The 25,131-nt window shown below is 42.4% G+C and overlaps 1 protein-coding gene across 9 annotated transcripts in view; it reads left to right on the top strand.

The window, feature by feature from the left end:
• Window positions 1–25,131, top strand: part of KIAA1549L (KIAA1549 like) — a 297,995-nt gene that overhangs the window by 210,316 nt on the left and 62,548 nt on the right. For 5 of the 9 annotated variants that reach the window (XM_047426719.1, NM_012194.3, XM_005252847.4 and 2 more), the window contains 4 exons: window positions 4,814–4,998; window positions 12,397–12,524; window positions 20,218–20,399; window positions 23,326–23,543. In XM_047426719.1, coding sequence (XP_047282675.1) covers window positions 4,814–4,998; window positions 12,397–12,524; window positions 20,218–20,399; window positions 23,326–23,543 — 713 coding nt within the window. Of the gene's footprint in view, window positions 1–4,813; window positions 4,999–12,396; window positions 12,525–20,217; window positions 20,400–23,325; window positions 23,544–25,131 lie in introns of those variants that run through there. The other 4 variants (XM_005252848.4, XM_047426720.1, XM_017017486.2 and 1 more) reach the window with 2 other exon arrangements.

Genomic DNA, 25,131 nt, shown 5'->3' on the forward strand with positions numbered 1-25,131 from the left:
GGTGAAAAATGATAAATGCAAGAGGGCCAGCATCATGACTTTTGTCACCTCCTTTCTTCCTAGTTCACTTCCCTTTACTCTGTCATTGGATGTACAGCCATTTTTCTAGTTTTTCCCTTCATAGAATTGAAGAGATCACGTTTCCCTGGAAGAGGCCACCTTAGAAGAGGGTGGATAGGACTATATCCAGATGCAGGATGGAGCTTGGAGGGTCTGTAATCTTTTGCATGAACATCTGCTTGGGACAGGCCAGTCACCCCCTAAGAACAGCCAACTGTTTCCTCTTTCCCACTACTATCTGTAGGATACTATCTATAGGATACCTATAGGATAACTTACCCAGCTCTGTGAGCCTGGGTAAGCTGCTTAACCTCTCTAAACCTCAGTTGCTTTATCTGTAAACTGGGAACTCATGATAATACCTACCTTCTTGAACTATAGTGAAGATGCAATGAGAAAAGTTATGTACTGTGTTTAGTACTGTGCCATTGATATCAAATGAGGCTGAAACTGAGCCCCTTGAGGGTGAGGAACCAGTTATTTAACTTTATATGTTCAGCACCAAAGACAGTCCCTGTCGTTGGAACAACAATAGGAAAGTTACTTAACCTCTGTGCCTCAATTTTTCCATCTGTAAAATGGAGATATAACAATAATCGTATAGAGTGTTGTGAGGATTAAGTTAATATATATACATCACTTTGAGATATGTCTAGTATATAATAAATACTACCTATAAGTTGGCTTTTATTGTTACCCATGCTTTTTTTCTTAAAAGGTCTTGGCAGTGTATCCGCCATTGAAATTACTGGAGATTATTTTGATTTGATAATTTTATAAAACGAATTGAAGTAACTATAGCTACTTCATGATATTTTATTATTGGGGTTAGGAGTCACTAATGTGTCTAATGGGCAGTTGATTAATCTCAGGTAATTTTCCAGTTGAAAGCTAAAAGACCGCTACCCTGGGAGTCAGAAGAGTGAGGGAGTAGTAGTCCTGCGCCACTTAGCTGTGTGATCTTGGGCAAGTCACTGAACCTCTCTGAGCTTTTGTTTTCTTATCTGTGAAATGAAGGCTGTAATGTTTGCCTTGCTTACCTCACAGGTTTGTTGGAGGATGAGATGAGATAACAGTGTTTTGCATGCTGTAAGTACCAAACATACACAGGGATTGTTGTGATTAACAACACAGGTGTAATTAACCTAATAACAATGGGAACCTTTTAAGCTTGGAATTCCTTAATGTCTCTCTTTGTGTATATCCATCATTGACCCAATCACCTGAAGTATCCAGTGGATAACTTTAACCCTGTGTGAAAGGTAAGGGGCCAAATCCAGAGGGAGGAGAGAGAAAGTGGGAGATGGGACCAGAGCCAGCTTTCCCTATCATTAGGTTCTTGGGAAGTCTTAGCTGCTGTTGGAGCCTCCCACTTCCTCACAGACAGGCCAGGAGTGTTGCATAGGAGCCAGGCCATGTACGGCAGGAGATGCTAACCAAGATAGGAAGCTGCAGAAGGAAAGGAAGGGCTGTGGGAAGACTCATCAAATCGTGGTTAGATGTTCCAGCTCTGTGTCACATAGTCCTAGGTTCAAATGCTGACTCCATCACAGCTCTGTGAGCCTGCGTAAGCTGCTTAACCTCTCTGAACCTCAGTTGCTTCATCTGTAAACTGGGAACTCATGATAATACCTACCTTCTTGAACTATAGTGAAGATGCAATGATATAAGTTGTATACTGTCTTTAGTACTGTGCCATTAATATCAAATGAAGCTGAAACTGAGCCGCTTGAGGGTGAGGAACCAGTTATTTAACTTTATATGTTCAGCACCAAGGACAGTCCCTATCGTTGGAACAAAACTGAATAGGATAATGGGGGCGTGAGGGTGTGGTACAAAAGGGGTCAACAGGACATGAAACTGGGCAGGCAGGTTCAGCTGGCATGTGAAGGGCTTTGAATGCCTTGCCAAAGCATTTGGGGAGACATTCAAGGCCCTTCATATTTTAAATGAGAGTGACGCAACCACATGTGTTTTAAGGGAGATAATTTTGGAAGCTCATCGGGGAGGCCTGGAAAGGAGCTAAATTGGAAGCAACGAGACCGAGGCAGGAAATAGTGAAACAGTGGACCTGGGGAGGAAAAGTCAGCTTCCAGAAACATTTCAGACGTTGAATCTAATTGGTGACCAATTGATTATGGAAGGAGCAGGCAATTCAGTATTTGAGAGACATTACCAAGTTATCTGAAGGCTTGCTTCTGTTTCTTATAGGCCAAGGACAGGGAAGGAAAAGAACAGAGACCACCTTCCCTCAGCAAACCCTATTTCAGAAACGCAGTTCCAGGTCCTGGCCTCAGAATGTCACTGATCACCACATAGGTCAGAGTGTATGTCTCAGAGAAGAGAAGGGGGTGATTATACTTCCCAGAGTGAGTTTCTCAGGGAACTGGGGGAGCTGTCCATGGCAAAGCTATAGACAGCCTCAAATAAAAAAGCCATGTTGGAGTTAGCAATAAAACTCCATCCTGTTCTGAGACACAGTGGTGAGATTTGACAGGTTAGGCCACAGTTCTAGACTGGATTGTTAAATCCGCTGGAACCTTCCTGTTGTATCTCTGGCTAAATTAGCTGCTGAAATTTACAAGAAAAAAACAACCCTATCAAAAAGTGGGCGAAGGATATGAACAGACACTTCTCAAAAGAAGACATTTATGCAGCCAAAAGACACATGAAAAAATGCTCATCATCACTGGCCATCAGAGAAATGCAAATCAAAACCACAATGAGATATCATCTCACACCAGTTAGAATGGCGATCATTAAAAAGTCAGGAAACAACAGGTGCTGGAGAGGATATGGAGAAATAGGAACACTTTTACACCGTTGGTGGGACTGTAAACTAGTTCAACCATTGTGGAAGTCGGTGTGGCGATTCCTCAGGGATATAGAACTAGAAATACCATTTGACCCAGCCATCCCCATTACTGGGTATATACCCAAAGGATTATAAATGATGCTGCTATAAAGACACATGCATACGTATGTTTATTGCGGCACTATTCACAATAGCAAAGACTTGGAACCAACCCAAATGTCCAACAATGATAGACTGGAATAAGAAAATGGGCACATATACACCATGGAATACTATGCAGCCATAAAAAATGAAGAGTTCATGTCCTTTGTAGGGACATGGATGAAGCTGGAAACCATCATTCTCAGCAAACTATCGCAAGGACAAAAAACCAAGCACCGCATGTTCTCACTCATAGGTGGGAATTGAACAATGAGAACACTTGGACACAGGAAGGGAGACATCACACACCAGGGCCTGTTGTGGGGTGGGGGAGGTGGGAGGGATAGCATTAGGAGGATATACCTAATGTTAAATGACAAGTTAATGGGTGCAGCACACCAACGTGGCACATGTATACATATGTAACCTGCATGTTTTGCACATGTACCCTAAAACTTAAAGTATAATAAAAATTAGCTGCTGAAGGAGGGGCTTCTGATCATATCAAGTTCTGATATACTCTAAATGACAGAGCTTGAATTTCATCTGCAGATTTTCTTGAAAAAAATCACTGCTGTCCATTTCACCTGGACTATGATTTATCAGGAAAGCAAAAGTAATAACTAATATTGATTGAGCACTTACTATTGGCTAGGCACTTATCTAAATGCTGAACTTGAATTTCTTATTTAATCCTTACAGCATCCCCTTAAAAGTGGTTACATGTTGCTCTCACAAACATATAAATTGTATCATGTTTATACTATCTCCAATTAACATAATAACAATGGCCATCTTTTAAGCTTGATGAAGAAACTGATGAGCAGAGAGTTGCAGTAACTTACCCAAGGTCACACAGCTAATGAATGACGGAGTCGGGATTTGAACCCAAGCAATCTGCTTTTGAAACTGCCACTTTTACCCACCACACTGTCCTGCCTCAAATCTGTATTGTACTGCTTTGGGGTGTAAAGCAAAATAGAGACACTTTCAGGAATTGTTTAAATATGCGTCTTGGTTTTCATTACCACACTACTAGATGTCTGTTGGATTTTGCTCAGAGCTGCCTTATGCACTTGGGATTTCAGATGCTGTGCAATAAAACTTTGCCAGTTTCCCAGGAATGCATTATAGGAGAGCCAGCCTACTTAAGGGCGAAGTCTGGATTAAAGAGTGACTCCATAAATTCCATTTCATTATTAATGATTGTACGGCTTCACATGTGATAACACACTTCCCTCTGTGTTCAGATCTGTGATCCACTTTAATACTCAAGGGTGGTAGAAGTAAAGCAGATAAGATTATCTTCAGTTCTCAGATGAAAAAATTGAGGTTCAGAGTTCAAGTGGCTTGGCAAAGTCACACATGTGCTATTACACATAAAGCTATACGAGAATGGAGTGAAGAGGTGACCAAACATTTCTAGGCAGGAGGTGATCCACAGGACCTGTTTAATGTATTAATTGAGTTGTTTCTCATTTGCAGCATCCATTGACTTAAAATTCATGGTCTAAAATCTTTGAAAGAGGTTTGATCTTAAACACCTGTTTACATGTTGTTTACAGTCTTCATTTTTCTGAGCAAGTCTTATCTGTAGAGATTCTGTAGCTGGATGGAATTAACATGGATTCTGATTTTGAAGAGACGGAAATAATGATGGGGATTTGAGTTAACTCTTGTTTATTAATTAGAAAGCTAAGTTTGGTCCCATCTTTTTGCTGCCTGTCATCTCTTAAAGCCATGGTTAGAGTCACACTTCGCTAGAAATACGACTGCAAATCTGTTTCCTCTTTGCAGCCTGTGCAAGGCTTTGATTATGCCAAGCAACACCTGGGCCAGCAAGGGGCAGATGAGGAGGTCATCCCTGTGACTCAGGAGACAGTGGTTCTCCCACTGCCCATTAGAGATGCTCCTCAGGAAAGAGACGTCGCTCAGGATGGAAGCACCATCAAGACCGCCAAATCCACTGAAACCAGGAAGAGGTAGGCACGGGGCTGACTTCTGCCTCTCTGTGTCAGCAAGAGAATAATTGATGATGAGAAAAGCTGATGCCCTCAAGTTAATTCCACGGTTCTCTTTAAAAATTCCCCTTCATGCTCATTTTGAATATTTGAAAAGAGACTAAAGGAGATGATGAGAATCACAATACCTGCCTAGCCTGGGCTACGCTTTGTAAGGTTTTATGTCTCTGATAACCACAACAGCAGAGATTTAGTTCATATATTTACTATAGCAAATTTAGCACTGATGTTACACTTATATTTTAAACTTATATTAAAAGCAGTGCCTTTGATTCAATATAGTTGTATTTTATCTGGCAATTTCTCAATAGGGGTTTCTGATTTCAGTCAAAACCATATATTTAATTTATACTATAAGCAGAGCACTTTGAAGACATCCCTTTAGGACTACAAAAATGTGTAAGATTGATTTGTGACCCCAGGAGTCTCATGATGGAGGAGGCGGAGAGAAAAATAACTGGAATACCGAGGATGAGGTATTGGTGCCTGCACTGGAGACTGCAGGGCTGTAGTAAAGTCAGGAGGAAGAACTTAATTCTGAACAGGGAAAACCTCGTGGAGAAGGTTATCCTTTAGCTGAGCCTTGAAAAGTGAGTGGGATCTGAATAGGTGGGAAGATATAAGGGCATCCAGTCTAAAAAGAGTGGGGAGAGAAAAGGGACAGGTTTGTTCTCTAAATGGTGAGTGTCCCCAGAGTTTAGAGTTCATAGTGGCTGGATGTAGTGAAGAATGAAACCAGAAGATAAATTAAAATTTTGGAAAGTCTTGACTGCCTGGCAAGGCATCTGACCTTTATTATCTAGGCAACGGGGAGCCACTGAAAGGTCTTTTGGAAGATAATGATGTTAGCCTATATGTTAGAAGGATACTTTGATGGCAGTGTGGATGAGAGATGGGAGAGGTTAGTTTAGAGGCCAAGAGACTCATTGTAAGACTTTGCAATAGCCTTATAAAGAGGTAATGAACCCTATGGCAAGCCGCGTTGGCTGGCTAAACCAACATGCGTTGTCAACTCCCTTGTTGCCTGAGACTACTATGGAGACTGAAAAAACTACATCATCCATGTCTCCTTCCTTTCTCCCCTCCTTTTATCTAACATGTGTATTGATCATTTGCTGTTTATCAGGCACTGGGGATATTGCTGTGAACAAGACAGAGTTACTGTTCTTGGGCAGCTTATAATCTGGTGAGGAGAGATAGATAATAAACAAATAGAGAAACAGGTAAAATCTATCTATTTCTGGATCAGGTGGTGATGAGTACAAAGAAGAAAACCAAAGCACAGTTAAGGGATAGAGAAATGGAGAAGGAGACATAGTGCTATTTTAGCTAGGAAGCTAGGGAAGACTTTTTTGATAAAGTGACATTTGAGAAAGACCTGATTGAGGTATAAACCACGAGGTTATCTGCAGGAGGAATGTACGAAACAGATGGAACAGTTTGTGCATCGCCCAGAGGAGGGAACTTCTTGACATACTTAAAGAAAAGCAGGATCAAGGGGGCTGGCATGAACTAGGGAGGAAGTGGTGGCAGATGAGTCTGGCAAGTTGCTGGAGGTTGATTATGTCAGGCTTTACAGACCAAAGTCAGGACTTGGGATTTTATTGTGAATAAAGATCAGATGTCATTGGGGGGTTTTGAGAAAAGCAATGACATGATGTGACTTGCAGTTTTATAGGCTCACTTTGGGCTGGGTGCATGGCTCACACCTGTAACTCCAGCAGTTTGAGAGGCCGAGGCAGGAGGATCACTTGAAGCCAGGAGCTTGAGACCAACGTGGGCAACCAAGCAAGACCTCGTCTCTACAAAATAAAATTATATAAAAAATATTAGCCAGGTGCAGTGGTGTGTACCTGTAGTCACAGCTACTGGGGAGGCTGAGGTGAGAGCATGGCTTGAGCACAGGAATTCAAGGCTGCAGGGAGCTGTGATTGTGCCACTGCACTCCAGCCTGGATGACAGAGTGAGGGCTTGTCTCAAAATAAAATATAATTAAAATAAATACAACAGACTCACTTTGGCTGCTGTGTGGCAAACAGACTGTAGGGATGCAGAGTGGATGCAGGGAGACCCTTTACAAGGCTACTGCCGTGACCTAGGTGAGAGACGATCGTGTCATGGGATGGTGTGAGAAGTGGTTGGAGTTTAGAGGTGTTTTGAAGGAAGAGCTGAAAAGATTTGCTGATAGATTCTTGTGGAGTGACAGAAGTGGAGAGGAGTGAATTTGCCATTTATTGTGTTGGGGGATACTGGAGGAGAAGTAGTTTGTAGGGGATGGTCAAGAGTTTGAGTGTGGACATGTTACATTTGAGATGCCTGTTAGGTATATGAGTGGAGATGTTGAGAACTCAGTTAACCTTGAGTCTGGAGTTTAGAGGAGTGGTCTAGGGTAGAAATATAAATGTAGGAGTGGTCAGTGTGTAATTACTCTATAAGACTGGGAAGAATCACCTAGGAGAGTACAGATAGAGAAAAGAAAAGATCCAAGAACTGAACCCTGGAACATTGTCATGATTAGAGGTCCAGAAGATGGGGAAGGATCAACAAAGAAAAAGGAATAGTGTCAGGAAGAAGGGCATGAGAAGAACAAAGAGAGAGTAAGATCCAAGAAGCCAAGAGAAGGAAGTAATTTGAGAAGGAAGGAGGGATCGTCTGTATCAATTACCCACATTTTGTACTGGAATCAAGCAACAAGACTGCATATTTTCTTCCAAGAACTCTTGGTACCTCAGGAAGAGGAACAGAGGGTTGGATTTCAGCTTGTGTAGGAAAGAAGGTTGGGGCATGTGGATTAGTTACCTATTGCTCCATAACAAAGCACTCCAAAGCTTAATAACTTAAAACAACAACCATTTTTTTTTAGCTCATTATTTTGGTGGGTCAGCACATTGGGCTGAGCTCAGCTGGATGGTTCTTCTGGTCTCAGCTAGGCTTGGCTGACCTTAGCTGGGCCTGCTTATGCATCTCCAGTCAGGTGACAGATCAACTGGGCTGACTTGTTGATACTAATCTTATCAGGAATACCCCAGGTAGCAAGGGCCTTTGTTCATATGGTTTCTCATCCTCTAGCAGGCTAGTCCTGGCTTTCTCACAATGTGGTTGCAGAGCAGCAAGAAAAACAAAAAACACCCAAAGCATAAGCATTTCTCAAATCTTTGCTTGTGTCATGGTTGCTACTGTCCTCTTGGATAAAGCAAGTCTCATGGTCAAGTCCAGACTCAGCATGAGAGAAGACTACCCAAAGCTTGTTGACAGAGATGTACGAACAAATTAGGACCAAGAGATGTACAAACAAATTAGGACCATTACTGCAATCACGCACCCAACATGAGAGAGCATAAGCAGAGCAGAGCTGAAATGTACAGAGAAGCAATAGATGATTTACCTGAATTGACTTGCAAGTAGTATTACCTACAGCTATTATTCTCATCATGATCTTTGCCAAATACAACAAAGGCTTATTAATAACTTATTTATCACCTATTTAGAGGACACTGAAAATAAATAGTGTTACTAAAATTAGGATATGAACATAGTACTTTCAGGAAGAATAAAAATTATTTTTCACCCATTCTAGTTGAATAATTTAAATTGTGTAAAGTTTTCTTTAAATTTTTTTAGAATAAGCACTTCTTCTTGGATTAGCAAGGAATCTACTCTTGCTAATCAATTACCCCCAAATTTTTAATAAGAAATATTAACTGATGAAACAAATACAGATGAAGATGATAACACATATATTCCTGAAGGATTTCTATATTTGCTTCATAATTTTTTCTTTTTCGAGACAGAGTCTCATTCTGTTGCCCAGGCTGTAGTGCAGTGGCAAGATCTCAGCTCACTGCAACCTCTGCCTCCCGGGTTCAAGCAATTCCCCTGCCTCAGCCTCCCGAGTAGCTGGGATTACAGACATGTGCCACCATGCCTGGCTAATTTTTGTATTTTTTTGGTAGAGATGGAGTTTCACCATGTCGGCCAGGCTGGTCTCAAACTCCTGACCTCAAGTGATCTGCCCACCTTGGCCTCCCAAAGTGCTGGCATTACAGGCATGAGCCACCATGCCTGGCCACTTTCATAATTTTAGCATAAAAATATAATTTTACTAAGGGCTGGTTAGATCATTTCCAAAGCTGTAAGAGAAACCTCCTCTCTGTTGAAGTCCAGCTGACCATGGGAGTCTCTGATCATTTGAAAAGATTTTCAAAACATCAAAGTCAAGAGAAAACCCGTTATGAATCTTATGTTTCTGGCTTCCCCATCTTGCCACATCATTTTTCTCATTCCTGCTAGATAAAGACTGCCTTCCCTCTCAGAATGGGTCTGTTAGATGATCCAAGAAGTTTCTCAAGTGAAAACCAGGAGAAACCGGTGGTTTGATGGTTAAGATATCTCAATTTTTATGAATTATTTTAGCACTGAACTCTGAGGGTTCAGTCACTTCCAGACAGTCAGATGGGTGTTCTGCGTCCTTTTCCTCCAGTGTAGGGTCTTGGTGAGGCTATTTTGTTGATATATGACTGAGATTGTTGGGCCAGGATGGAGAATCAACCGTTTACAGCTGTTTGCAAAGGGCACTTCAGTGTAGTGATTGGCCGTGATTCGTGCCATGTTCGGCAGTTGATTAATCCTCAACCCGAGAATATTCTTCCCAGCTCCATGTCCTCAGAATGGGGACTTTTGCATTCAGTAGCCTCAAACTGCAGCCTCGCAGGTGACACTTTCTTGCTTTCAAAAACACTTTTGTTACTGTCATGTGAGTGGACATGCATGCACAAACACACGGGCACAAATCTCACTCTATTTTTGAACGGAAGTTTTGACTTGATGACTCCCTGTAAATGTGTCTATAAACAGAAGCAAAGAGTAAAGCAGAGTTGGGTTTTGCTACAGAAATTTGCTCATTAACACCTTTCCTTGGAGTGAGAGGAGCAGCCAGAAAATTGTTTCAGGATCAAATGAGGGAAATGGTATGAAAATGCTACAAAAACCATTCAGGCCAGGCTCGGTGGCTCATGCCTGTAATCCCAGCATTTTGGGAGGCCGAGGCAAATGCATCACTTGGGGTCAGGAGTTTGAGACCAGCCTGGGCAACATGATGAAACCCCAGCTCTACTAAAAATACTAAAAAATTAGCCTGGCATGGCGGCGGGCGCCTGTAATCCCAGCTACTCTGATGGTTGAGGCAGGAGAATCACTCGAACTCGGGAAACGGAGGTTGCAGTGAGCCGAGATTGCACCACTGCACTCCAGGCTGGGTGACAGATCAAGACTCTCAAAAACTCAATCAGTCATTCACTATTTTGTGAATGTGAAATAGGTTATAAAAAGCCTTTTCCTTTCCTATTTTTTTTTCTGGACGCAAATTAAAGCCTTTTGTACCAGTGCCGCCAGTTGGGAGAGTAGGTGCCATTCACCAGAAGAGTCCAGAAACAATCTAGGGGTGTGTGTCTTTTATGTTTGGGTGTTGCACACCCAGCACTCAGCAATCAAATAGCTGTTGGGTAAATAAAATAACATATATTCAACAAGTTAGTACCGATCCTTGTTTTCACAGACTACATTCTTTGTATTACTCATTTTATATGATGTTAAAAGGTATTAAGATGAGAAAGATTGTGACCGAATAAATTTGGAAATGTTGGGTTAAACGAGACCAGATGAATCTCTCTGTGACAGAACTGATCAGAGCCTTTGATATGCTAAGGTGCATTAGGAATCTCCAAAGAAGGAATATAGTGAGCATTTCCCACATTTAGGGAACTTTGGCGAGGAATGTCCCACTTGGCTTTAGTGTGCCACGGAATGTTCTTGGCAGATACTGCCTTATCCCATAGATATCCCAACTTTGATTGTTCATGGCTTTTAGGGTATTAAAGTGTACAGACTGAGAACTGGAAATTTCCGGAGGCAGAGGGGAGAAGGGAGGAGGAGGGAGAAGGGAGGAGGAGGCAGAGGAGCATCCGGAAGGATACACAGCTTCCAGCTGAGAAGCTGCTCGCCTACTGATCAAGTGCATTTATTCCAGACAATTCTCCATTGTCAGGGATAGATGTCATTATTTTCTAAATCTGGACGATTGACAATAGAAGAACAGAGGCCGCTAGATACCTGCCTCCCGCTTGTCTCCCACAGTGGGGAGGCAGTCAGTCTTTATGCTCAGCCGGACCCACGGGCTGGCATGTTCTGAGGCCAGAGGCAGCATGAGGGAGGCTTTCTGGATCCCATTCCCTGACAGAGTTCCAGAAGATGAGAGTCCCGCCCTGAGGAAGGAAAGAAGGCTCTGTGACTTGCCCTGTGTGAAGGGCTGCCTTATCTTTGGTCATTGTATGGGACAGCAAAGGGAAGGTGTTCTGGGATGAGGGAGGAGGGGGAGCCTGGCTTCCAGGACTGATTCGCCACTTTCCTACTATGTCCTAGACAACACACTTCACTTCCATGAGCTTCATGTTCCTCACTTGCTAAACAAGGGTGGCAGCCACCAAATCAGTGGCTCATTATAATGATCCATTAGCAGTTTTAAAAGCACGCAGTAAAGTCCTTGGTACACAGTAGGTGATCCTGGTGGGGAGCTCTTGGGGGGCATGGGGTGCTATCTTAGAGTCTCCACATATGTATATGTCTGGCACAGAGTAGATGAATGAAACGTATTTCCTGAATGAACAAATAGCTCAAAATCAAAATGTTAAGTGGGTAGCAGTTGCCACAGTTAGAGAGTTAGAGAGAGAATGTTTGTGTGTGTGTGTGTGTGTGTGTGTGTGTGTGTGTGTGTCAGAGTGAAGCCCCTAGTGATGGGGTATTATGCAAAGAATAAGGCATAGTTGAGTTTTTGCTACAGAAATTTGCTTATTGATGCCTTTCCTTGGAGTGAGAAGAGCAGCCCGAAAACTGAAAATTGGAAACGGAATGTTTTGTAGTCAAAGTCTATGTGGTAAAGACAATAGCCAAAGAGAACCACGTGTGATACATGTCCCTGGAAATTCCCATGTGATTTAAACACTCTGCAACACTATCCAGAGTGCTGGGTATTAAAAACAGGCTATGCTGCATGGATGCCACCCTTGCCACCATTCCCATAGTCACGGCGGGTGGTGGTTAATGAAACAGAGATGGGCACCCAAGGCTGCGCTCACTGAACTCTATGGGCTGAGCACGGCAAAACGGACTTCCGAGCAGCCAGCTGCTTAACCCACGCTGTAGTGTGGGTGGTTTTGTTTTTTTCTTTTTCTGTATCGTTTCCTCTTTGTCCATTAAACTGGAATGAAAGGCTACAGACATTAAACTGTGCAAATAAAATAACCTTGAGAGGCGGCTGCTCTAGTTGAAACTTACCGTCTCCCCTGTTGCTATGGTTACCTCCAGCAGGTCGCCCAGTGAGAATGGCTCTGTCATCAGCAACGAATCAGGGAAGCCCAGCTCAGGGAGACGCTCACCCCAGAATGTAATGGCACAGCAGAAAGTGACAAAGGAGGAGGCAAGGAAGAGAAATGGTGAGAAGCCTTCCCTCCAAGAACCACCCCCAGCTGCTCCCACGCGTGCCCGCACACACATGCGTGCACACGTGTGCACAAACTCACACACAGCCACTGGGCTCTGACCCTCAGTCGTTCTTTCTATTCTGCCCCACAAGGGCCAGGAGTCTGTATGTACCCCTTGGGTTCTCACCTTACCCCTTGTCTGAATTGTCCTGTCTCACTTCCTCCGCCCCTGTTCTTATGAAATGGTGTAGTTCCTTAGGAAAAACCTTTTGCGGAATGAACTGATGTTTGCTTAGAGGTTTTTCTAATTCTCTAGTTAGAAATCCTCTAAAATTTCTAATTTCTAATCACATGAATTGACGCAATTTCTTGCACCAGTTCCACTAAGGCAGCAGATCTCTGAAATAACTGCTCATCTTGGAGATTCCTCTCATTTTCCTGCCCTGACTCCCCTGATAAGTTTCATGGGTTCAGTCTGTGCCACTGAGTCCAGATATTGCAACTCCACTTCTCCCAGGAAAAAACTAACCCAAAACAATAAAGGAACAGATCTGTCATCAAAAAAAAAAAAAAGAAAAGAAAAGAAAAAAAAAGTTATATGCTTCTGTCTTAATTCTCCAGGGAAGCTGAACTACTTAGTTTCTCACACAGATCTCTCCTTTCCTGTAAGGATTGGCGTTGGGGTTTATTTATCAGTCATCTGAGCACCGTAGTTGTGGAGTGGCATTGTCTATAGATGGCCTCTGTCAACATCATTGTGCAGCTCCCTCTCCTGTTCCCACCTTGGTTCTGACTCTCATCTCCATGTGGCCCTTCCGTGTGTGATGCTGGTTTACTGGGGCCAGAATTCAAGTACCCAGCACTACTGATTTCATATCAGGGAAAAGTCCTTTTGGATTTTAATGGGTTGTAGGTGGAGCCCTACAGAAATGCCAGGTGAAAAGCTAAACCCTCTAGCACCCTGCTTAGCTGCACTTCCCTTTCAAAGGAGTTTGCATAGTGCAGGGACTCTTTCTTGAAGCTAGTGTTGGAATATTTTTTTGTTTTCAAATATCACTTTTATTTTTTTTTTCCGACTGAAAACGGTAAGAGCAGAGAAAAGAAAAGAAATAACGACACATGGATTTGTATTCTGTAGGGAAAATGTGCTCCCTGTTCCCATTTTCAGCTATTATATAAAGCACTTGTTTAAAGTTTAAACTGTCATACCTATTTGGTGGTTGAAATTTTGTCTTTCCCTGAATTCTGCATGCCTGTAACACAGAGGCTGTGCTTTCTACATCAGAAATGGGGTGTGACCTGTGGAATTTTCCTGCAATATCTGCCCCACCTGGGACCACTAGAAATCCTGCCATCAGCTCTATCGAGTGAGCACACGGAGTCAGAGGTGCTCTAGATCTTGGGAAGGGGACTTGAGTTCAGCAACTTTCTTCTCTTTCTTCCTAGGATGAGGTGATAAGAGAGATGGGTAGAGAGAGTGAGGTGACAGCAGAGACAATGGACAGTGAAGCCATATGGGGAAGGTTGTTTTAACTAAATACTGTGACGGCCATCACCATCTATCCAAGATGGTGCTTCCCGCCCTCCCAGCTCCGCCTACTCCCTCCCCTCCCCCTCCTTCCTTCCTTTCCTTCCTTCCTTCCTTTATATACTTCCTGGAAATTTACAAGGTCAAATCAAAGACTACTCACTCCTCCAGATGCCCCACTCACCCACCCCAGTCCTCAGAGGACCCCGAATAACTCAATGTATATCTTTCTCTGACCTTTTTACTATGCATATGGCAATACACATGTATCTTTGTTTTTTGTTGTAATGCTTTATTTTGTTTTATTAAATGGAATCAGTGCGCATATTGTTCTATGCCCTTTCTCTTGCTTTAAACTGTGCCATACAAAGCTCCTTTCTTTATGAATACACATTTGCAAAGTGATGTCTTTTCCCCTTCCCTGCAAATAATCCATAGAAGATGAGAGAGTGGGGCTGGTTCCTGACCCCGTCACTCCCCACTTAGCTGGTGAAATTCTGGCCTGCTCTAGATGTCCCTGCTGACCTTGCCCATTTCTGCTTGTCTGCCCTCTCCTCCTGCCTCTTTATTCTATTTAGGTCACTTTGACTATTTAAATATAAGGCTTAGAAATAAAACAGGTGGGTGCAGGAATAAAATGCAGTTACTATGCCAGGTTGAGGTTTTTGCTTGTTTGCTCTATTAAAAAGCCATCCTTCCAGGGTTAGAGTGCTTGCTTGGTTGCACTTTATTTTTGCCAAAAGTAAACCCAGTGAATTTGGGGGGCTGGTTGCTTCTGTTTACAGGTTTCTATTCCGTAAGGTTTTAGGTTTGAACTTTTCCAGTAGAACCAATAGAACCAACTTGTCTCATGTAAAACTCAACAGACATCAGAATTTTAGGATAGAACTTTATGAAAACATACACTTGTTGTTTTTATCAGAGGGTTCCATTTTATCATAATCCTAGGTTAGAGTTTACCAATAAAATCAATAGTGTATTTTATTGCATTGGAAGATGAACCAAAGGAAGGAAGGAAGAAAATGACATTGAATGGAATTGTGGAGAAAACAAAAAAGTATATTTTCATCACCTTGCCAGCTTGCAAAAAGTATTGAGGACTTTCTGTATGCACATGGCCTCTGAGAATCCATTATTCTGTTGATATGGAATATTCAAATGCTGTTGTCTTATGGCTTAGTATCTATTTTTCACAGAAGCTTAAGTTACTAAGGTTAATAAATGTTAAATGTAGCAGGCTGTTATTCTAAAACTGTTCTTGTTTTCTATCAGGTTTGTTACATCTGTAGCTTCCAATCTTTTTCTTTTATGTAAAAAAGAACTTTGAAAGGAAAAGACACTATTCTGCTAGCCAGATGGCTGGCATAGGTCCTTATAGCTCAATGGCCACATCAGTTACCATCGCTGCAATTTTAGAGTCTGTTTCATAATGATGCTTACATGTAAGTGGGAAAGTCAGACATGAGAGCTAGGATTTTGAAAGCAAAAAGAGTTTGGTGCTTTCTCAACCAAATAGACATTTGAATTTCTGAGCCAATTTCTAAACATGGAAAATATGTTTAATAGGAAAGAGTTAAAAGTAAGTTCAAGATTTTTGAAAATAATACATATCTTTGCATCTTAAGTCATTTGGAAGCAAACAACCACCTGCCTGAACCCTTTAAAGTATGCCCCCTTCCTTTATGTCACTGAGAGAATTCACTGGTAGGGCTCAGAATCTATTAATAATCAAACTTCACCTGTCTAAGGTATGGGGCAGGTGAGGCAGGCAAAGAATTAGAAAGTTTAGAGGATGAATTACTAATTTATTAGGAGCTCTTTATGGGGCATCTGGAATTAAAACATCAAGGAAGATTTGTCAGAGATACTAGCTCAAAAACACAGTTTCAGTTATTCTTTCTTTGCCTTCCCAATGAAGTGAAGACTTGCTTTATCTAATAAATAATACTAGAGAATAATGATGCTATTATAGATTGTCTGAGCTTTAATGAAATTTTCAGAAAAAGCACGTGTTGGATAAGAACACTTTCTGCCTCAAATGGGAGAGGGAGGCACTCCCCATGCCAGTTCAGACATGAAGAAATGAAATCTCTCTGTCCAACCTGATTTACTGAAATTAAAAACAACAGTAAAAACAAGGCACAATCAGATACAAGATAACTATTCAGTGGCATTTACTGTGATGCGATGCTATGCTAAGACACTTGCAGTTTCACTGTGGCCCCTTAAGCATTCTCCCATGCTTTTTCTTTAGGGACTAATCATGCATTAAAAATCCCCATGAACCTGCTGTGTTCATACCACATTTTGAAGCATTAATATTTAATGTCTTTTAATATATTTGCCTATAAAGTCTTTTTTAGGGGAAGGATAACTAATTATTTTTCTCTTCAAAAGCCTAGAGGAATTGTACAAATCTGAATAAAAGTTTTTTTGAAAGAGTGAAAAATAACTATAGCTTGTACAATTCCCAAGGTGTCATTTTCCTGTCCCATTAATGCTATGCTGCCCACCTTACCCCGTTCAGTTTGGGGAGTGAGGGTGTCACCATCCAGAAGTGATAAAAATGCTAAGTGCCATCTCTTCACCCTCTGATGGGTTGAGGGATAGCATGACTTTAACTTCTGCATGGTTACCTGTTCTGCAGGTACTAACAGCATCTCCTTTTCCAAGTCAGGGAAATTGAGTCATTCATTTCTTCACTCACAACCAATCTTTATTGAAGGCCAACTATATGTGAGACACTGTTAAAAGCAATAGGCATTAGTCTTTAAAAAGATGGGCAAGAATGGAGCTTCTAGTCTAGGGAAAGGGGTGAGGGTACACTGTAAATCAGTATAACATATCAGTAGTGGTAACCATTGTGAAGAAAATAGAACAGGGTAATGAAGGGGGGATTAGATTGTTGGTTAAGGAAAGTCATTTTTAAGCTGCAACTTGAAAAGCAAGAGAGAACTGGGCATATAGAGATCTGGGAAAAGGGCATTCTGAGCAGAGGGAATAGCTAGTGCAAAATTCCTGAGATGGGAACAAGCCTGATGTGTTCAAGAAGGCCACTGTGGGCCGGGCACGATGGCTCACGCCTGTAATCCCAGCACTTTGGGAGGCCAAGGTGGGTGGATCACCTGAGGTCAGGAGTTCGAGACCAGCCTGGCCAACATGGTGAAACCCCGTCTCTACTAAAAATACAAAAATTAGCTGGGCGTGGTGGCGGGGCCTGTAATCCCAGCTACTCGGGAGGCTGAGGCAGGAGAATCCCTTGAACCCAGGAGGCGGAGGTTGCAGTGAGCCGAAATCATGCCATTGCACTCCAGCCTGGGCAACAAGAGCAAGACTCCACCAAAAAAAAAAAAGAAAGAAAAAAGAAGGCCACTGTGGCTGGAGCAGAGCAGATGAGGGGAGAGGGACTAAATGAGTTCAGCAAGGGGGCCAGCATTAGATTGACAGGATCTTGGCGGGAAGACCTTGGTTTTATTCTGACAGAGATGAAGCCTTCAGAGGGTTCTGGTCAGGGGAAGAATGCCATCTGGTTACCTTCTGGAAAGTTTATCCATCCTGGTTACTGGTGGAATATGTATTTTAGGGATAGAGGGAGAAGAGGGAAAGCTCAGAGGTGGAAGGTTGTTTAGAAGGTCTGTAAGTTATCTATTGCCATGTAACAAATTACCCCAGCACCTAGCAACCTGAAATTTATTATCTACATTTATTATCTCATATCATATCTGTGGGTAAGGAATTTAGGACTGGTTTAGCTGGGTCATTCTGGCTCAGGGTCTCATGAGGTCATAGTCAAGATGTTGGCCTGAGCTGTCATCTAGAGTCTTAACTGGCAAAAACCAATAGATGTTGGCATGGATGTGGTGAAAAGGGAATGCTTATACACTGCTGGTGAGAATGTAAATTAGTACAACCCCTATGCAAAACAGTACAGAGATTCCTTAAAGAAGTAAAAGTAGATCTACTATTTGATCCAGCAGTCAATCCCACTCCTGGGTATCTACCCAAATGAAAAGAAGTATTATATGAAAAAAGACACTTGCACATGTGTGTTTATAGCAGCACAATTCACAATTGCAAAGATAGGGAACCAACCTAAGTGCCCATCGACCAATAAAGAAAATGTAGTATATATACACCATGGAATACACTACTCAGCCATAAGAAGAAATGAAATAATGTCTTTTGCAGCAACTTGGATGGAGCTAGAGGCCATTATTCTAAGTGAAGTAACTCAGGAATGGAAAACCAAATACTATATATTCTCACTCATAAGTGGGAGCTAAGCTATGAGGACACAAAGACACACAGAGTGATATAATGGACTTTGGGGACAGAGGAGAGGGTGAGGGGGGAGTGAGGGATAAAAGACTACATATTGGGTACAGGATACACTACTTACGTGACGGGTACACTAAAATCTCAGAATTTACCACTATAGAATTCGTCTGTGTAACCAAAAATCGCTTGAACCCCAAAAGCTATTGAAGTTTAAAAAAGAGAAAAATGAAAATAAAAAATAAAGTCTTGACTGGGGCTTGCAGGATGGTCACTCATGGCTCTTGACAGGGGGCTTCAGATCCTTGCCACATGGACCTTTCCATAGGACTGCTTCAAGGTCCTCAGAATGTGGCAGCTGGCTTTCTTTAGAGTAAGTGATCCGAGAGAGAGCAAGGTGGAAGTCATGAGTTTTTGTTTTGTTTTGTTTTGTTTTGTTTTGTTTTGTTTTGTTTTTTTACAACTAAGCCTTGGAAGTAACACGTTGTCATTTCTGTAGTTTCCTGTTGGTTACACAGGTCAGTCCCATTCATCCTGGGTATGAATATCAGGGGGTGAGAATTCTTAGGAGCCACCTTATTGGCTGGCTTTCATAGATGGCTTGTATAGCAAGTGTCCAGGAGGCAGATAATGGTGGCCAGGCCAGAGCTGCCCAGCAAAACTACATCTAAAAATATGGATGCATCTGGTAACACATTCAAATAGAGATTTTCCTCTGTCATTGGCTGCTTGGTGGCCTGCTATTTGCAAATCAGCCCACAGAACTTAAAAAAAAATCCAATTATAACCCATTGTTAGACTCTGAAGTGTTTTAGCCACTTTGTAAAAATAACAATTTACTTGGCTTAATTTGACAAATCTTCTGTGATTATGATAAGTGACAGAATGATACAAACTATGTGTTTCTCAATAATTTAAATAACATCCCAATCTCTCAAGCAGACAGGAGGAAAGATGAATACACTGCTATTACATTCATATTTTATATAACACCTCTTTTCCTCCTAAATTGTCTGCTGGTTTAGTTGTTTGAATAGGCTTAATGTATCTCTTGCCTAGCCATGCTCAATAAGCTGTCTTTCTTATAGTTACTTAATGGGAATATGCTTTAAGAACAAGTAAATCAGCAAGATACCAGGGGCCCTGGAACTTCTGTCAGCTTAGTTATGGAAGCTCAAGGCAGACTGGTGTCTTTTAGCAATTGCAGCAGAATTATCTGTCAGAAGGGAGGATTAATTTAACAGAGCGTAGGTAGAAATCCTTCTACTTAATTAGGGGAGTTGTCTGTAGCTTCAAATTAGTTTCTCTGGCGGAATTTTCGTAGCTTTCTTTTATTTTAGACAAATAAACCAAAACCCAAATCACTGGGGAAACAACCTTCAGAAGAGGAAAAAAAAAAAGAATGTCAGCCACTATAACTGTGGCTTGTTGACCAAGAAAGACTTGCTACTTTAACATCTTGTAAAGATTGGTAGCATTGGTGGCTGAACCTGAACTGAATGCTGTTAGTCTGAGGATTGTCGGATTTTAAGGACAGTTACAAGGTTTAGCCAAACTCACTTTTCTCACCTCCAACTCAAACATAGAGAAAGAAGTTACTTTTTAATTTTTTTCAACTGTCTTATGTCATAGTTTTGAAAGAATGGTTCTTACTGTTTAAATTCAAACCTCTACAGTTCTTTCCCACCCATGATAAGGCAATGGAGGGATAAATCATACAGATCTTAAATTTAAAGGAAAACCGCTAGCAGTAGCGAGTCCTTGGCACAGAAGCAGATGCTGTCGTTTCTGAGGTTGTTTTGAGTAAAGTAATGTCCTTAGGCTGTGAGTCTAACATAAATTCTCCTGGGATCACACAGCTCCCCAACATCATAAAATCGATGTGTTTATGTTGTGCTTCAGTGCCAGCGAGTGACGAAGAGGAGGGAGCGGTTCTATTTGACAACTCCAGCAAGGTGGCCGCTGAACCCTTTGACACATCTTCTGGGTCTGTGCAGCTCATTGCCATAAAACCCACAGCCCTCCCCATGGTGCCCCCCACCTCGGACAGGAGCCAGGAGTCATCGGCAGTCCTCAACGGCGAGGTAAGTGCCTGGAGACCCAGGGCAGGAGATGGTCCGGCCAGACTTGGGAAATTCGGACGAAGGAACAACACCTGTGAATACTGGGTGCAGATTGCACCTAGGGCCGTATAGGTCATTTTTACCTCTGCATGTACCAGGCCTCTGCAGAATGAATCAGGACACAAGTCACCCAAAAAGAATTTGTTGGGTGATGTTTTCAGAGCACTTCCTATGTTCATTAAAAGCCCAGAAGGAACTGTTAAAAAAATGTGATTATGAAGAGAAGCATCAGGCGTCCTGCTCCCCGACCCCCTCACACACACAGCCTTTTGCCTTTCTTGGTGACACTCCTAAACTGTCCATTGTGGGATGTTGCTTGTAGTGGGGATGGAAGGGGCTTGAATTGAGAGGGAACCAGGGAAGATAACGTCATATGGACAGGGATGTGGGCCACTCTGGGGACTTTGAAATGACATTTATTCCTTTGAGCAAACTTGAAACAACTCATTGGCTGCTTCCAGAAAGCTATCAATGGATATCATGATGTTAGTCAACTTTCCTAAGAGTCTGAAAAAAAAAATTGTAACATTCACCATAGAGTGATGATTTCATCAAAGAAAATTAGATAGATAGATGCCAGAAGTTAGGTAAAAATTATCTGCATTTCCTTCATCTTCAGCAGCAGAATGGCCAGTGGATTGCAAATGTTTATGAACTTTAAGAAGATGCATTTGGACCCTACATGTGAACATTTACATTACATGTGTGCCCAAGCATGTACACACACAAGCTCTTAATTTTTCTCTGTTCTTAAGCTGTCAGGTTGGTTGTTAATTTCATTTGTTTATACCCAGCTATTTTTACCTGCAAGAGGTGGGAGATTTCCAAAGTTTTAGTCTTTTTCCCATCACACCTCAAGGAACATGCTATGGCCCTACAAAACCAGGTATTGTAAATACGCAGCATCTGGGCCACTTATAAAAGCATTTTACAAACCCAACTCAGGAAGCAACTCTTGTTTTCTGGGCAGAAAGACTGAGATGGCCTAAAGATGTGATGGGTAAACCTTCATTGATTTAAAAAAAATAACTGGTTGTGGACGTACAGAGCACTTCTCTTTCAGCCTCTTCATTTTTTAAACCAAGAAGCTGAAGCTTGAGGGGTCCAGTGGCTTGTTCAAAGTCACACGGCAGGTTATGGTGACAGCCATGAGGTTGAGGTCCCCTGACTTCCTGTCCAGCGCTCCTTTCCTCTCTTTTACTTACTACAGCCTACCAGAGAATAATAGCATTGTGCTTAAAAGAGTATGGATTCTCAAGCCATGCCTCAGGGGTTTGAGCCTCAGATCTTTTACTTACTGTGTGACCTTAAGCATGTTAGTTCATTTCTCTGTGCCTCAGTATCTCCGTTTATAAAATAGGGCTGCTGTGAAGATCAAATTGTTTAATATATGTAAATTACTTAGACTAGTGCCTGGCACACAATAAGCACTTTGATGATGATGATAATGATGATGATGATTATTATTATTACTGTTGTTGTTATCACCACCCATTAGACAGCCAGTGAAGAAAGATCATGTATTTTATGCCCCTTGGCTCTACAATTTGAGAATCTGAATGTCTTCTCAAAACCAGTCACAGTCACTGAATTTTCTCTTGGGCACAATTCTGCCAGCAGACATGCAAACCCCATAATTAGAGGCCTCTGAGGTTGACACTAATGCATTGATAACTGCTGTTGATTTGGACCCTCTGCTCAGTTATGGATACATGTGATGGCCACTAGGCCTGGATCTTTTCATCCCAGCTTAATGATGTGCATGTCATAGAGACAGATTCCAAATCTGGGATAGATTCAATTTATCACCCCCTTTTCCTCCCAGGCCCATCACCTTGTCAAAGAAGGAGAGCAAATCAGCATCTTCCTTGTCCAGAAATGGATGCTGTATTTTGGTAGTTAAAGGAATGGACCTTGCTGGCATTTGGATTGGAAGAGAGCCCTGAACTGTTCTCTATAATTTGCTGCCTTGTGGAGCCTGACACAGATTGTCTTGTAATTTTCTTCCTCCTTCTATTGTGGGTGGCTGGTTTAAATGAAGAAAGCACAACCCAGAAGCCATACGTTTTTCTTTTGTAAATTACACGACATTCTTTTAAAGATTATTTTTAAGAAAGCATAATAAAAACAGAAAGTTCGGAAACGTTGGTGTGACATTCTCATCACTTGTTACTTATTTAGCACAGTCACCTGCTTATATCTCCAACAGTTTGCAAGGTACATTAGCCACGTTCCCTTCTGAAAGACCAGACTGCCTTTGCCCTATAGGGCAGGACCTGGTTCATGTTAGTGGCCATACAAGGCTTCAAAATTACATATCTCTCAAGAAAGGCATGGATTTACAAAAACATGCTGTCAGATGCAGGTTGACAGTGTGGAAAGGCATTGGGAGCAGCTGCTTCCCCTTCCACCCTGTCCGTCCCAGCTCAGCCTCTTCAGGAACTTGCTCTCTTATCTAGCTGGACACCAGCTGAAGGGCAGCGAAGGCCACTGGGTTCCCCAGGACTGGAGCTAGACTCAGGGCACTGAGAACTGGCGGAGGCACCCACACAGAGGAACCAAAAGGGTATAGGCATAATTAAGGCCGAGCCACATTGCTAAGAGCACGGAGTCAGGCCTAGGCCTGAACAGAGACAGGACAGACTAGGGAGAAGGAGGCCTTGGAGGAAGGTCTCAGGTGATTCAGGTGAGTGCCAGGCTCCACAGTATCTATAGTCTACTGTTGTGGGCTTGTCTCAGAATGGGATGCAGGTGGGCCTGGCTAGCTCAGAGGCCCGGAGGTGATGCCTGTGATGGCTTTTTTAGAAGTGATAACCTCCTGGTGAAAGTCTCCCACCTGCCGGCCCCACTGGGTCAGGTTTGGGCCTGAGACTGCCTCTCTCCCCAGGTGAACAAAGCCCTGAAGCAGAAGTCAGACATCGAGCACTATCGGAACAAGCTGCGCCTCAAAGCCAAGAGGAAGGGATATTACGACTTCCCTGCAGTGGAGACGAGCAAGGGTCTGACCGAAAGAAAGAAGATGTATGAAAAAGCCCCGAAGGAAATGGAGCATGTTTTGGATCCAGATTCAGAACTCTGTGCTCCATTCACCGAGTCTAAAAACAGGTGCAGTCTCTAAGGGATTCTGTAAAGGGTGCTGTATCATTGGTGGGATAAGGGCAGGCCTTGGGCAGTATATCCTGGTTCCTTATCTGGTACTGTAGGATTGTGATCTTTGCAGTCCACTGATTTGTACCACGCTGGTCTGTGCAAGCAGGTGCTCTATAATGAGTCTGAAAGAGAGTAACATTAAAGCCATTAAAAAAAAAAATACTTGGGCAAACAACCATAATTGTCCATCAGCTTAATGGTATTTTCAAACCAGTTGCTTTTTCAGAGCTGAATGAAGATTATAATTATCACCTACCTAATGGTGCAACTTCCAGATCAAGGGACATTGTATTGTTCAATTGTTTTAGAGGCTCTTGCATAAGAAAACCAAATTTCATGCTGCACCTTTTCATTCAGCCTCAGTAAGTACTTACTGCACAGGTGCTCAGAGCTCCATGCTGGTTTATCTCATTCATTCACAGACTTGTTCATTTATTCGACATATATTGTCACCTGCTATGTATTAGGTACCATTCAAGATGCTGAATGCTGTCATGCTCATGTGGGCTTATTCATTCATTCAATTCAAATTCCTTCAACATTTAATTGTGGACAAGACAGTCCTATTGCTGCTCTTATGGAACTTAGGGTCTAATGGGAGAGAAAGAATCACCCCAAAAGTTTATTAATGACAAGTGTGGTAGGTGTTTGAAGTATGAGGTGCTGTAACGATCTAAAAGGGAGTCCTGTCCCAGCAAGGAAGGGCTAAGCCAGATGGTTTAAATTGGCATCTGTCTTAGTTCTTTTTGTGCTGCTATAACAGAATACCTGAGACTGGGTAATTTGTAATGAACAGAAACATATTTTCTCACAGTTCTGGAGGCTGGGAAGTCCAAGATCAAGGTGCCAGCATCTGGCAGGGCCTCCTTGCTGCATCATCCCATGGCAGAAGGCAGAGGGCAAAGAGAGAGCAAGAGCAGGCCAAATAATGCCACCCATGAGGAGGAGCCCTCATGGCCCTGTCACCTCCCAAATGTCCCACCTCCTGACACCACCATGACAGGAACCAAATTTCAACATGAGGTTTGGAGGGGAAAAACATTCAACCATGGCTGCAGCCTTCCAAGCTTTGTTGCTGACTAAGCAGAGTGATTTCACATGCACGGTCAAAGGCAGAGGTTAGTGAACCCAAACATGTCCACCTTTCTTCCTTTCCCACCTACCTGAAGCACTTTCATGATTTGAGGCCACCTCTTTCCCATACACAGTCTCCTTGGTGACTTCCCTCTGGCCTTGAGCATGCTCCCACCCCGACATGCCACAGAGCCATGACAGACACATTCTCCACAGACTGGGGAGCCATAGGGCAGTTTCTGGCCTGAGTAAGTACTTATTAAAAGCAAAAATGACTTTGTGACAGGCTTGGATCAAAGCCACAGAATCAAGCTGGGAGGTGGGGCTGAATTTTATGAATTGGATCAACATAATTTATTTTCAATAAAGAAAAGAGGAAATTCTCAACCAGTGCTTAATTTACCATGCTTCTAATTAGGCTTTGTTGGTATGACAAGCTATTGATATCAAATCACACCATGACAGGGTT

This window comes from Homo sapiens, chromosome 11, assembly GCF_000001405.40.
Source record: "Homo sapiens chromosome 11, GRCh38.p14 Primary Assembly".
Classification (NCBI taxonomy): Eukaryota; Metazoa; Chordata; class Mammalia; order Primates; family Hominidae; genus Homo; species Homo sapiens.